This window comes from Homo sapiens, chromosome 5 (assembly GCF_000001405.40).
Source record: "Homo sapiens chromosome 5, GRCh38.p14 Primary Assembly".
Taxonomy (NCBI): domain Eukaryota; kingdom Metazoa; phylum Chordata; class Mammalia; order Primates; family Hominidae; genus Homo; species Homo sapiens.
Window position 1 is genome coordinate 173,627,506 of NC_000005.10, and position 14,039 is coordinate 173,641,544.

Genomic DNA, 14,039 nt, shown 5'->3' on the forward strand with positions numbered 1-14,039 from the left:
TGAGCTTGGGGGTTGGAATGTGGAACTTTTGAACCTGATATTGGGGTTGTAATCTGGAGGTAGGGTTGTTTTATAATCCAAGTCTGCAGAAATATACTGGAAATAGGACGATTCTCTCTCAAATTAACAGCCCTATTTCATAACAACTGATGACCAACTGATGCTCGTTCCGTCCTACAGAAAGATCCCGAGAGGGCCCCTTCTCCTTTTCTTTCTCCGCTGTCTAAAATGCTTTATTGAGGAAGGGTGAAAAATTGCTGAATTGATCTTTTTAAATGAACGCGGATCTGAACCAAAGAAATTCGGAAGAAGAGAACTTTCTCATCCAAGTGGCTGCCAACACCTCACCCCCAGCTGAAGCGCTCCCTTGTTCTCTCCTGCTCTGCCCCAGATTCATGGGCCGCTCTCTGAATCGTTGGCAATTTTCTCTGTACTGTCCTGACAACCTCCAGCCATGAAATTAAAAAGCTAGTTACCGAATCTTGCTCCTAACGGCTTTGTCCTTGCCAGCAATTCGACAGAGAAATCTGGAAGAGAGAGAGCCTCCACTTCGCCTGCAGTGGGTTGAAATGCTGCTGGAATGACAATGGGATTCGCAGTGGGAGGAGGAGAGAATGCGCAGTTTGCCAGGAATGAATGAATGAAAGGGAGAGAGAAAGAAAGAGTGAACTTCGGGCTTTAAACTGAAAAATTCCAGTGTCTCAGCAGAAGCCCTGATGCCTTTACTCCCAGACCTGCTACAAAATGCTGAGCAGGCACATTTCCCCACACCAGTGCCCTCTGGCCCTCAGCCTGGGTTCAGAGCTAGGGGCCGGAAAGCTGGAGAGTTGGAATTTGGGAGAGGAAGTGACTTCAAACTGGGGCAAGCCCTGGGAGGCCAGTCTACCTAGCCAGCTGGCTTTCCTCCCCCCATCTCATGTGTCTCCCCTGAATTCAGACATCGTCCACGCCCCCAAGGAATTTTAAGAAATCCTCAAAACCCAAGGAATTTTAATTGCCCTTAATTAAGGAAAAATGTTCTAGAAGACCACTGCAGTGTGGCTCAATGTGATATGGGTCCCTGAGCTCAGGAGGGTAAGGCTCAGCCTTGTTGCTGTCTGTGTTCCAGCCCTTGGCCTCGGGACCCACACAGAGCAAGGGGCTGGCAGATACCTGTTGGACAAAGGGATAGGACCAGCTGCATTCAGGGAGCCCTTTTTCCTGCCTTTGCCCTGTTCGGGCATGGACTTACAGATGGATCTTGTGATGTGCAGGGGTCGCAGGAGAGAGAGGCATTTGAGCCCTCGCTCAGTCTCCAGGGACAGGCGGAATGAGGTTGGAGTCCCAGCTCTGTGATGTCTTAGCCAAGAGACCTTGAGTGAGTTATCTGTAAAATGGGATTCCCCGTGGTGGTAGCTCACTGGGGGGGCTGGCAGATTAAATAAAGTCTTACATGTAAAGTGCTTGTCATATAGTCAATGCTCAGTCCCCATGCATCTTGGAATTAGTCTCATTGCTGGACAGGCCTGGTATTGAATGGACCCTGGGAAGCTGTGTTGGCCCTCGCTATTTAACTGAGCCTTCACTCACTCACTCATTCATACAAATACTTATCTAATGCCTTCCACGTGCTACCCTGTGCTAGGGGGTAGGGCAAGAAGAGTAAGTAAAAGGTAGCACAGTTTCAGTACTTGGAGCTTAGCCAGCAAGCAAGCAACAAACAAAAAAGCAAACATGCAAAATCAAGATCAAAATCATTTTGGGTGCAGATAAGTTGATGATCAGAGGAGGCCTCTCTTGGGAGGTGACATTTGAGCTAAGACCTAAATAACAAGAAGGAGCTGGGTACACTTAGACCTACAAGGCAGGAAGAGGGTCCCAAGGTAGGGAACAATAGCAAAGGCTTGGAGATGGGAACAAGCCTGGCCTGACCGAGGGGCAGCGGGGACGAGGATGGCTGCAGGGGGAGGCCTTGCGGGAGTTCAGGTTGCATTCTAAGAATTCTGGGGAGCCACTGGAGAGGTTATTTCACAGTGTTGGGAACAGGAAAAGCAGGAAGTCGGCCTGGAGGATTGGGGCTGGAGCCCAGAATGTGTGCTGGGTGTCACTGGCTCTCACCAACCTCTCCTTGGAGGCTGGATCTGGCCCCCTCTTTGCCTTGCACATGCTGCAACTCTGCATGACAGGGCAGGTCTTGCAGAACAGTGATGCAGCAATACCTAACTCAGCATTATTATGTGTGGCCCACCTTCTCAGAAGTGCATGTCTCCCCCAACCTCAGGGTTACCCCTGCATGGAGGAGTAGACCCCCTGCTGCTCCCCACACACCTGCCCTGGCATGGAGCACATGCTGCTATAGCAGCCAGGGACCTACTGGAGTCAGAGATGCTCTTCCCAGGCTTGGCCTGATGGGGGCAGTATCAGGAGAGCTCCATGGTGGGCCGGTCCTCCATCCCCCCAGGCTGAGTCCACCCTCTCAGCCAAGATGCCCCTGGTCCAAGCTGTGCCATAGGCCCTGCAGCCACCCTAGGGGTGGAATCTGGAGTCCTAAGACTGTGATAGCATGACCAGCCAGTTCACAAAGCACTGCACCCTTGGGGTCAGACAGCCAAGAGCTCCCTGTGTTATGGAGCTTGAGATTCTCCCCATTGAAAGGGAGCTAAGAAGTTAAGAGGCATTGAATCCAGCCTCATACATTCACTCAGTAAATGTTTGTCAAGCTTCTATGATGTGCCATACATTATATCAGCACAGGGTTATATACTAAAGATGGAGGACTCTGTGGCGCCCAAAGCAGAAATGATTCTGGCCCTCATGGACATCTGTATTTCTAGGGGGGTGAACAGACACAGAACAAATCAACCTACAAATACATAATTCTAAACCATGACAAGTGACAGAAAAGACAGAAACAAAGCATGGGGCTTATGTTCCAGATCCAGGAGTGGCCAAACTGGATCCGACGGTACAGAGATGAATGGCTCAGCTAAGATCAGAATCATAAAACACCATTTTGAAGGGCACTGATGCATTCCCAGAATGCCTGTATCATATATGAAATTCATTATTAACAATAACTGCCAAAATAAATCAATATGAAAACGATGTTGTGGAGAAAGTCTGTCTGGCTAGTATTGAGACTCGTTGGCGAATCTTGACATAACGAAAGTTGTTAAATGTAGTGGTCTGTTTACTGTGTTTGTAAACACAAAAATGAGAACAGATGACATGTTTGTGGAGCTTCTTCTGTGTCAGGCACTGTGGTGGGCACTGGGGGCCCAAGGATAAGCACCCTGCTTGTTTGGCATTGCCTGGAAGTAAAGCACTCCCACCCACACACCGGAAGCCCCTCACAGTGACTGCCTGCACTGTGCCAAGTGAGGGATGGCTGGGCTGCACATTCCTGGGCTGTCTGTTTTGTTTTGCTTCAAGATTTGACCTTGTCGCCAGATTTCTGTCAAGATTAACCTGGCAGAGTTTCTGATGTAGTTCATTCTACAGCGAGTTAGGCTTCCGCATTTGATGAAGTCAATATACCTGCATCATGGTGAGGCAGGCACAGAAGAGGAGGTTTGCGTGGCAGAACAATCCCTTTTTAGATTAGGAAACATAGAATTCATGTTGGAGAAAAGAGTGCTATTTCTGTCTCCAATCCGATTTTGTACCCACTTTCAGTTTTAAGCTGTGCCCCATTCCAGAGCAAAATCCTCCTCTCCTTCCTCTCCTCCTCTCCCCCACTGCCCCCTTCTTTTTCTCCTCAAGTCCTCCCTCCTCCCTCCCTTCATCTCCTACCCCCCTCCTCCTCCTCATCTCCTACCCCCCTTCTCCTCCTCATCTCCTACCCCCCTCCTCCTCCTCATCTCCTACCCCCCTTCTCCTCCTCATCTCCTACCCCCCTTCTCCTCCTCATATCCTACCCCCCTTCTCCTCCTCATCTCCTACCCCCCTCCTCCTCCTCATCTCCTATCCCCCTCCTCCTCATCTCCTACCCCCTCCTCCTCATCTCCTACCCCCCTCCTCCTCATCTCCTACCCCCTCCTCCTCATCTCCTACCCCCCTCCTCCTTATCTCCTCCTTCTTCCTCTTCCATCTCACGATCTCTTCCCCATCTTCCTCCTCCCCTCTCCTCCTCCCAGTCCTCATCTTCTCCACTCTCTTCCTCATCCCTCACCGCAACTCTTCCCTCCTCCTATTCTTCTTCCTCCCCTTCCTCCCACCTCATCTTCCTCTTCATTCCTTCTCTCTCCTTCCTCCCTCTCTTTCTCTCTGCCTTCTCCTCCTTTTAAAATCAATCCAGATTTACTTGGCTTTTGATTTGTGATTTAGTAGTGATCAGGAGATTTGATGTTAAAGGAAAATCGGATAAGCCCAGAGCCACTGACCTAATTGATAGGAGTTGCCATTGCCTCTGTTTTTCTGTATAAAATGGGAACAGTTTTTTGTACAATACAAGTACAATACAATACAAGTATTTATTTGGGCCCATATCTATTTTCACTAGTCTTCTGAGTTCTGTGAGGAACAAGAAAGGAATGAGTAGGACAATGTCCTCCCTCTTAGCAACTTCCTATCTCAATGGAGACCGCCTATCGAATGGGAATTTTCTACCCCAAGACACCTGAGACAGACCACAGTACACGCTGTGAGTGATTGAAGCACAGGCTCTAAATGCTGGCAGAGATCAGGCTCAGTATGGGCTGGAGGGAGGCTCCACAGACAATGTTCATCTTTTTTTTTTTTTTTTTTTTTGAGACAGAGTCTCACTCTGTCGCCCAGGCTGGAGTGCAGTGGCGTGATCTCAGCTCACTGCAACCTCTGCCTCTCGGGTTCAAGAGATTCTCCTGCCTCAGCCTCCCAAGTAGCTGGGATTACAGGCGCCTGACACCACGCCTAGCTAATTTTTGTATTTTTAGTCGAGATGGGGTTTCACCATGTTGGCCAGGCTGGTCTCGAACTCCTGATCTTGTGATCTGCCTGCCTCGGCCTTCCAGAGTGTTGGGATTACAGGCATGAGCCACCGCACCCAGCCTGACAATGTTCATCTTTAACAAAGTTCTGAAATTTGGGAAGATCTAGAATTGGAGGGCTAGGTACTTCTAATTCTGATGAAGGGAGAACAGTCATGATCATAGTACCAAACTCTCTCCCCTAATTCCCTGTTCCCATGGGGAAGGGACCAGCCTTTTCATGTCCTGCTCTTCTTCCCCTTTATTGCAGTCCCCTACCCTGAGCTGGTTTTGGTATCGGCCCTTTCTTCTTCCCTTTCCTCTCAATCTTGCTCATTATGTGGGACCTCAGCACTCCAGGGAGAAGCAAATGTCCTAGGCACAACAGCAAAACAGTGCATGTGGCAGAAGGCCATGGATGCTGACCTGAGCCTGGATCCCCGCTCCGCTCAAGATTCGTGGACTTAGGAGATTCAATCGACTTAGGAGATTCAATCGACAAGTTGAGCGAGGCGTCCAAGTTTGCTCCTGAAAATTGGGGGTGATAATCCTACTTCACAGGACTGCTGTTAGGATTCAACAAGGCAATGCCTGGGTAAGCAGTAAGGTGCAGATAGAGATGCTCCCAAAATATTAGCTCTAACTTTTTCTCAGCTCTTTTCAGCTAAGCACGATGGCAAATAAAACCTTCAGGGGACACAGAAGATGAAAGAATTCACACTCTGGAATCTGTTCACCGTGGGCTTGGTCTCTGTTTCTGGTTCCAGAAGAGGTATATTATGAACAAGTGAACTGTCCTCTCTGAGCTGCAGTCTCCTCATCTGTAAAACAAATATCCAGAGCCCCCCCTCCACGGAGGGCTGTGCTCAGCATGAAACTAGCAATGCATGTGAAATGTTGAACCCATTGGTGGCGTGTAGAAGGTGCTGGCATCACTGCCGTGGTGACCTTGGCTTAGTCAAGGTCACAGATATGGTGCCCCTTGGTGGCATCAGTATAGGGCTAGAGCTTTGTACCAACCTTAGAAAGATGATGAAACATGTTGGAAACGCTGAATCATCTCTACCAAGTCTTTACATGAAGTTTGCCGTCAAGGTATCTGCAGGCCAGGAAGCGTGTTTGGAAACAGGAGCTGGGCGCCTCCATGGGATTGATCTTCTTGAATTGCCCTTTGGAGGCCACTCACCACATCCGGTCCTCCCTAGAATCCACACACTGCCAAGAGCTCATCGCGGATCAAGAGCATAGTAACCAAACCCGGGGCAGCTGGCATTCTGGGGTGCTTTGTTCGCTAACCTTAAAAGCAAACCCAGCAACCCAGCACACTGGCAACAACCCATCAGCCTGCTTCAGGCAGGTCAGAGCCTGGGGACAGAGGAGCTTTCCTCGTCTGCTTATTAGAGTGACAGCCATGGAGATAAAAGTTTAATGTGCCGATTATCTTTCTGTTTTCGGGTGCCCGGCAGGACTGAATGGGCTACCTCATCCAAGCAGCCCATGGAGGGTGGGTGTGTGAAGTTGAAAACGGAAGGATACTCAGCTGATAGGATGGCAACACCGCTGCATTCTTGATCAGGGCTCCATGTGCCCTGAGCTGTCCCCAGAACCTGGCTATAGGGCCTGGTTCAGGCATTTCCACATTTCTCAGGTCCGGAGGGTTCGTTAGGGACACAACAGAGGGACCCGACTAAAATAAGCCCCCAGGAATAGAACTATTTGCAGGCATGACTGGGTGCTGTGGCTCACACCTGTGATCCTAACACTTCGGGAGGCCGAGGCAGGCAAATCACTTGAGCTCAGGAGTTCAAGACCAGCCTGGGCTGGGCAACATGGCAAAGTCCCTTCTCTACCCAAAATACAAAAACTTACTCAGCTGTGGTGGCACGCGTCTGTGGTCCTAGCTACTTGGGAGGCTGAGGTAGAAGGATGGCTTGAGCCTGGTAGGTGGAGGCTGCAGTGAGCTATGATCGAGCCACTGCATTCCAGCCTGGGTGGAAGAACAAAAGCAAAAACAAACACAAAAAAAACCAAGAACTATTTGCAGGCAAACCAAAGGAACATACATCTGAATATATTTTCATGCTTCTTCACAGGCTTGAAATGAATGGTGCTAACAGAGCCTGCCCTTATTACGAGAAAGTGTGCTGTGAAACTGATGTGGGGCAGGAACAGGCTCGTCCTCCCCTGGTGATATTTAACAACAATAATTATTGTGATAATAACAAAAGTGACTCACATTGATTGGGCACTCAGTATGTGTCAGGCGGTTTTCTCAGCACACACCTTAGTGCATTCAATCATCACCACAAGCCCATGAGGTAGGGTGCTAGTATCCCCATTTTACAGAGGGGAACACCGAGGCTCAAAAAGCAAGAATAAGAACCAAGAGATAATATTCTTAGATTCATGTGGGCCCAGCCATCATAGAGCCTGTAGTCTGGTGCACAGACCTTGATGCATGACATCAGTGCAGAAAAGCAATGCTGAGGAAAGGGATTGTGGGGAGAGGATTGGAAAGGAGGGATGTGTAAGCCTGGAAAGATAGGTTGGATTCAAGCAGTAAATCAAGATGGAAGGAGAAAGGAGGAAGGGACTCCTGGTGGAGGTCATAGCTCTGGGTAAGAGGAAAGAATTCCAGTGTATCTAAACTGGGAATTCACAGCAGGTGGGGCTAGAAAGGGGAGGTGGAGTTGCATTGGGAAGCCTTGAATGCCAAGTCGGGGGAACTAGGCTTGATTTGGTCAACATCAGGGGACAGCTAAAGTTTGGAGCAGTGGTGGCCCAGGAGGCTGCTCTTCCTCTTGGCTTCCTCTAGGGAAGTAAGCAAACAGAACAAAAGTGGGCTTTGGAGTAAGCCAATTCTGATTTTAATCTTGATTTTCCTCATGGATTTGCTCTGTGTCCCTAAGGAAGTTTCCTAACTTCTCTGAACAAAGACAATAATTGTATGCATTTCATAGGTTTTTGGAGGTAAATATAATGTATGCAAAGTGTGAGGTTATGTAATAGGTATTCCATGATGGCGGCCAATATTCTTCTTTATTAATCATATGGGCAGGGTGAGGTGACTCACACCTGTAATCTCAGCATTTTGGGAGGCCAAAGGGGACAGATCACTTGAAGTCAGTTGTTCAAGACCAACCTGGCCAACATGATGAAACCTCATCTTTACTATAAATATGAAAATTAGCTAGGCATGGTGGCGTGCGCCTGTAATCCCAGCTACTCAGGAGGCTGAGGCAGGAGAATCGCTTGAACCTGGGAGACAGAGGTTGCAGTGAGCAGAGATCACGCCACTGCACTCCAGCCTGGGCGACAGAATGAGACTCCATCTCAAAAGAAAAAAAAAATCATATGAACTGTCCTGTTTATTTTCATTTTTTTGGTGCCTTGCCTTCCTAGGACCTGTCCTTCTGAAACCAGAAATATAAAGATCCACTTTCTTTCTGCATGAACTCCTACTCAATCCTCAAGACCCATTTTAAAAATTCACTGTGAAACCTTTGCTAACTTCCGCATTGGAAAACAAATCACTCTATCTGCCATGGCTCCAACTGGCCCTCATCACATGACATGGTAATTACGTCTGTTTATGGTCTCTCTTCTCAGCCAGATTGGGAGTTTCTGGAGGTGCAGAGACTGCTACACTCCCCTCACTTAAATGGTTCTCCTACTGTGGTCTGCAGAACCGTGGAGGACCTCCTAAACCCTTTCAGAGGGCCTCACAGTGAAAACTATTTTCGGGGCTGGGTGCAGTGGCTCAAGCCTGTAATCCCAGCACTTTGGGAGGCCGAGGCGGGCAGATCACGAGGTCAGGATCGAGACCATCCTGGCTAACACGGTGAAACCCCGTCTCTACTAAAAATACAAAAAAATTAGCCGGGCATGGTGGCGGGCGCCTGTAGTCCCAGCTACTGGGGAGGCTGAGGCAGGAGAATGGTGTGAACCCGGGAGGTGGAGCTTGCAGTGAGCTGAGATCGCGCCACTGCACTCCAGCTCGGATGACAGAGCTAGACTCTGTCTCAAAAAAAAAAAAAAAAAAAAAAAAAAGAAGAAGAAGAAAAGAAAACTATTTTCATAATAACTCCGGGATATTATTTCTTTTTTCATTGTGTTGTCATTTACACCTGCGGTGGTAAAACTGCTTACACCTTAGTATGAATCAAGGGAGTGGCCCCGAAGTGTACAGGTACTCATTGTATTCTTCTTATCACCTACTTGCATTAAAACACATGCCAGTTTCACTTAGAAATACTCTTAATGAAGCAGTAAAATTTGTTTTTTTGTTGTTGTTGTTGATTTTTTGTTTTTTTTTTTGAGATGGAGTCTCACTCTGTCGCCCAGGCTTGACTGTGGAGTGGCCAATCTCGGCTCACGGCAACCTCTGCTTCCCGGGTTCAAGTGATTCTCATGCCTCAGCCTCCTGAGTAGTTGGGACTACAGGCATGTGCCACCCATGCCCAGCTAATTTTTTTTTTTTTTGTATTTTTAGTAGAGACAGGGTTTCACCATGTTGGCCAGGCTGGTCTTGAACTCCTGACCTCAAGTGATCCACATGCCTCGGCCTCCCAAATGAAGCAGTAAAATTATTAATTAAAAAATTCTCAACCCTTGAATGCATGTCTTTTTAATAATCTGTGTGAAAAAATGGAAAGTATGCATAAAGCACTTCTCACTCCGGCTGCCTACCAAAGCACAATGGTTGAAGGTAATGACAAGGAGAAGCACATGTGATTGTTTGAGCTGAAATAGCCACTTTTTTCATGGAACACTCATTTTACTTGAAAGAATTCACACACACACACACACACACACACACACACACACAGACAGCACAACCCATGGTTATTTAGATAGGTTTTCTGGCAGATGTTTTCCCAAAAAGTAACAAAATGAGGCTGGCACTTCAAAGAAAGCAATTAACAGTACTTGTTGCCAATGATAAAATTCAAGCTAAGTGAAAATTAGAAGTTTGGAAAATTTTATCTGCAACTATGAGGGTGGCAACTTCCCATTACGCTTCTCCCATGAGATCTGTGGTGATATGGAGGCATATGGTTTTTGATACTGTATAATGAAATGTGTCAATATTTGAAAGATCTGCGGGGGAGGCAGCGAAGCAATAGTTTCCAAATGAATAAAATACGTGATGTTATCAAATCGTGCATGGGTAAAAGACCCATTCAAAGGGCAAGCCAGACCACTGCATCTTAAAGTGACGGAGTAGAAAGAGTTCATTCACATGATTTCAGATTTTACATTGCAACATCGCTTACCCACTTGTCAACTTTTCATGTAGTCTCAAAGAAGAATATCCATAATTATCCAAAAAGACTATTAAAGTACTTCCCCCTTTTCCAACTACATGTCTGTCAGGCCAGATTTTCTTCATTCGTGTTCACCAAAACAAGATGTGGCACCAGATTGAATGCAGAAGCAGATATGAAGATTCAGCTGTCTTCGAGTAAGCCTGATATTAAATAGATTTGTAATCATGTACCACAATGCTGTACTTTTTATTAAATGTCTTTATTGTGTAAAATATAGTTTAGTTTTATAAAAATGTTATATGTTAACATGGAATGGACTTGTTACGTTTTCTAAATTACTGAATAAATAAATGTGCAATTCTTCAGCTTTAATTTATCATGTAGTAAATAGAAGCAAAAGTACTTTAAGGTCTTCAATAATTTTTAAGAGTGTAAAAGAGTTCTGAGACCAAACAGCCTGAGAGCTGCTGGCCTGGCACACAGTAGGTGCTCACTAAATAGCTGTGGTATCCAGGCCTTTGGGGATGATGACATGCCAGGCTGCATTGTACTGATTTCTCTCTGGTTCTCTTTTCTTCGTTAAGACACTGTCTGGACTGCCTGGTTGTCTCCTCCTGTGGTTCTAAGCAGGGGCTGCACTTGGTGGCCTGGGAGCTTCTGTAGGCTGAGTTCTCCTGCCTGGTTCATGCTAAGTATGATTACCGTGAGCCTCATGCCACATCCCAAATTGCTTCTGCAGCCTGCAGGTTCTAATTCCGTTTGTTTCCTGCCTTTTTCTCTGGGCTCAGGCCAGATTGGGAAGCCTATGGAATTGCTGAGACAGTAATTTGCAATTAAACTTAAGAAATATTAGAGGTCAAGTCTGGGGCAGATGTGGGCTCTTTTTTAGAATGGACCATTTCAGAATCAAGCAAAGGCAGACCACTTACCACGTGGGTCTTCTTCTCTTGGCTCAGGAAGGACGCCCCACTGCAAGAAGGGAAATGCTGATCTCCCTGTCCTTGCTGGAAGGCAGAAATAGGTGGGGGGAGCAGTGACCCTTGCCTGACACCCCGTAATCCAATCTGCCCTCTCCTTCCTCTCTCCTTCCCGACTGATCCCTGTGGGCCTGAAAGAGAATGTCTTCTCTGGCCAGGCTGAGTGGCTGCCTGTCATTAGAGCTGAGGCCACGATACACTTGAGGGAACAGTAATGGGGCCTGGGAAGAAAGCTAATTAGCTAATGTAGTAAAACGTATAAATAAAGAAGCCCAACAACCTTCAAGGCTTTCTGAGCTTGTGGAGGTTGAGGTGACCCTGGGGCTTTGGTGCCACAAGGCCTTTTGCGAAGGTCTGAGGTTCCCAGGCTTCCTCTGCTGGGGTCTTAGTTGGGAAGGGGCTGCCGGGAGATGAGCAGGTGGCAGCTCTGAATGTGATGAGCGCCCTCGGAAGGGGCCTTAGGTTGAGTTTCCCAGGAAGCAGACTGAGATGGATGGCGTTTTGGGGAGTAAGCAGGAGAAGCTTACCTGTGAGGGGGTATAGGGGGCAAGGCCGGGCAGAGGGAGCAGCTGGACAGTGACGCAGCTGCCACTGAGGCCTCAGCTGGTCCCCCGGGAGCTCAGGAGCCAGGGTGGCCCCATAGAGTTGGCTTGAATAGGGGCAAGGGGTCTGCATTGTTTTCCCCCATGCAGATCAGTCGCGATTGTGGCTGCCCCCTGGGGTGGGGCCAGAACCTAAGGCCACGCAGTCCTCTTCAGCCTAGTGCCAACCCCAGAGAAGGACTCAGTGAAGAGTCACCAGCAGCCAACATTCCCAGAATCCAGAGGAATGGGTGCCTGGGTCCCTATGGGAGATCCGGAAGCCGCACCATGGCAAAGCTCACAGAGGGCAACTGGAAGCCATCTGAGAAGGCCTGGAGCAGAGGGATGAGAGTCAAAGCCTGCAGGAAGCTGGAGACAGCAGGGACTTCAAGTTTCATTTTAAGATGAAATCAGTATTGTTTCTAATGAAATCAAAGGAAACAGAAGGCATATCTGTTGAATGAATGTTCGAATGAAAGAATGAGTAAATAAATCAAGTCATATATGGGAATTCAGGACATATGGAGGACAGAATTGCTCCTGGGCAAATATTTGGCCATTCTGTGCCTCTCTTCAGTTTTCTCATTTGGAAAAATGGGCATGGCACAATTGTGACGATGAAATAATGTAATACGGTGTCATTACAGTGTCTGAAGTACAGTAGGAAATCAGTGAGTGCTACCTGCTACGGTGCTTGGTGGATGCTGCTGTTGTGGCGGTTCTTGGTCGTTGTTATTACTATTATGCTCAATGCTCACCCACCATGGCAGCCCTCAGGTAACCATGAGCCATGGAGCTTAAGGTCTCCCAGGGCACGATTGTAACAGTATATGGAAACCATGGAGGTACACATGTAGTTGGTCTCAGGTTTCAGCTGGGACTCGGTTTCCCAAAATGAGGGTGGGGAATGCTAGTAGTATCTAGAGTTTCTTCAGGGACACAGATAAAGCATTAAAGAAAGTAGTTCTCTTATTCAGTCCTCTCTCTATCCTTCTGATTAGATCAAGGAGAGTCTCATGACGGTGCTGGGGTGTCCCTAATGCCTCTTAACACTCATGATTCTCTTTACCGGAGAGAGAACAGGCTGCAGACTCAGCATCTCTCCAGGGCAGCAGAAATCTGGCTGCATTTCAGTAGCATTCTTTTGCTTTGGGTATTCTTATTTTTATGGTGGCCATCTATTTATAGCAAGTGCAACCTATTTTCCAATTACTGTTGTGAGAGATTCTTCTTCACATAAATTCTATAAAATAAAAATTGGTGAGTTGACTTAAAGAAAAATGTGAAACAAATAAGAGCACAATTTGTATGTGAATAGAGCAACCACCAGGAGGGGTTTGTGTGAATAATTGAGATTTGGGATGTGCTGGGCTTCCGGGACAGACAGGAAGTGTTAGGGAGGCAGAATTGATGGGGCTAGAATCGGTTCCATGCCTTTGGCTCACAGTTTATGCCACAGAGAATGCCCTAACCTTCTCATTTCTGTGTGGCTCAGTTCCAACACATCTTTGCCATCCCAGCTCCAAGGCCACCTCCTTCACAAGCTTGCCCTGCATTCTTCCCACGTGAAGGTCACCTCTCTCCTGTCTATTCTGATAGCGCTTTGGGGGCAGCTTGCCTTTTGTGTTCTATTGGAACACAGCACATCAAATTCCAGTCATTTGTGCCTAACAAAGCACAGCGCATACAGGAGGTACTCAGCGAATGTTCACTCCAAATCTGCACCTCACTAAACCATGGCCAGATGACATGCATGTGCACTGATTGACCTAATGGTAGCCAGACATAGAGACCACAACGAAGTGTAGTGGGACCCCCAGCTGCCAAATGCCTGATCTCCCTGTGATTTAAGACTTCACAGTTGCAATAGTTAACTCAAGCTAAACTTGCCAGGTGGTGGGCGTGGGGGCTAGATGGTGAAGATCAGAGCCAGACAGCCACTCCCCGTGTTTCTGGGAGATGCCGTGGGCACTGAATGGACATGGGGGTGCATCAGAACTGATGTCTGTAGCAGCCCTTGTCCTGTCCCCGGGAGCCATTCGCTTTTATCAAGGTTGCCTTGCCTCCCCCTTCTCCTTCTCAGGACCCTGGTGAGTTCCCCCTCCTCTGTCACAGATGATCAGCCGCTCTGCACTGGTCATGCTAGCAGCTGACTTTGGGAGAGAAGATCTCTGAACCAATAGTGTTCTCTCAACATGATGATTGCCTTTCTTCTGTTTCCGCTTGAGAAGAGACCGTTTGGCTTGGTGGAAAGTTCCCCAGGGGGCTCTGATGTCACATGGACTG

At 47.7% G+C, this 14,039-nt stretch overlaps 2 annotated features.

Annotated features, from left to right (window-relative positions):
• Nucleotides 756-1,577: an enhancer, noted in NCBI's record as "H3K27ac-H3K4me1 hESC enhancer chr5:173055264-173056085 (GRCh37/hg19 assembly coordinates)". NCBI's record gives its function as "activates a minimal SCP1, AML or CMV promoter by ChIP-STARR-seq in primed H9 embryonic stem cells {active_cell/tissue: H9 hESC(primed)}" and the evidence as "EXISTENCE:reporter gene assay evidence [ECO:0000049][PMID:30033119]".
• Nucleotides 5,426-6,625: an enhancer, noted in NCBI's record as "P300/CBP strongly-dependent group 1 enhancer chr5:173059934-173061133 (GRCh37/hg19 assembly coordinates)". NCBI's record gives its function as "activates an origin of replication core promoter dependent on BRD2, BRD4, P300/CBP, MED14 and CDK7 cofactors, with strong dependence on P300/CBP, by STARR-seq in HCT116 cells {active_cell/tissue: HCT116}" and the evidence as "EXISTENCE:reporter gene assay evidence [ECO:0000049][PMID:35650434]".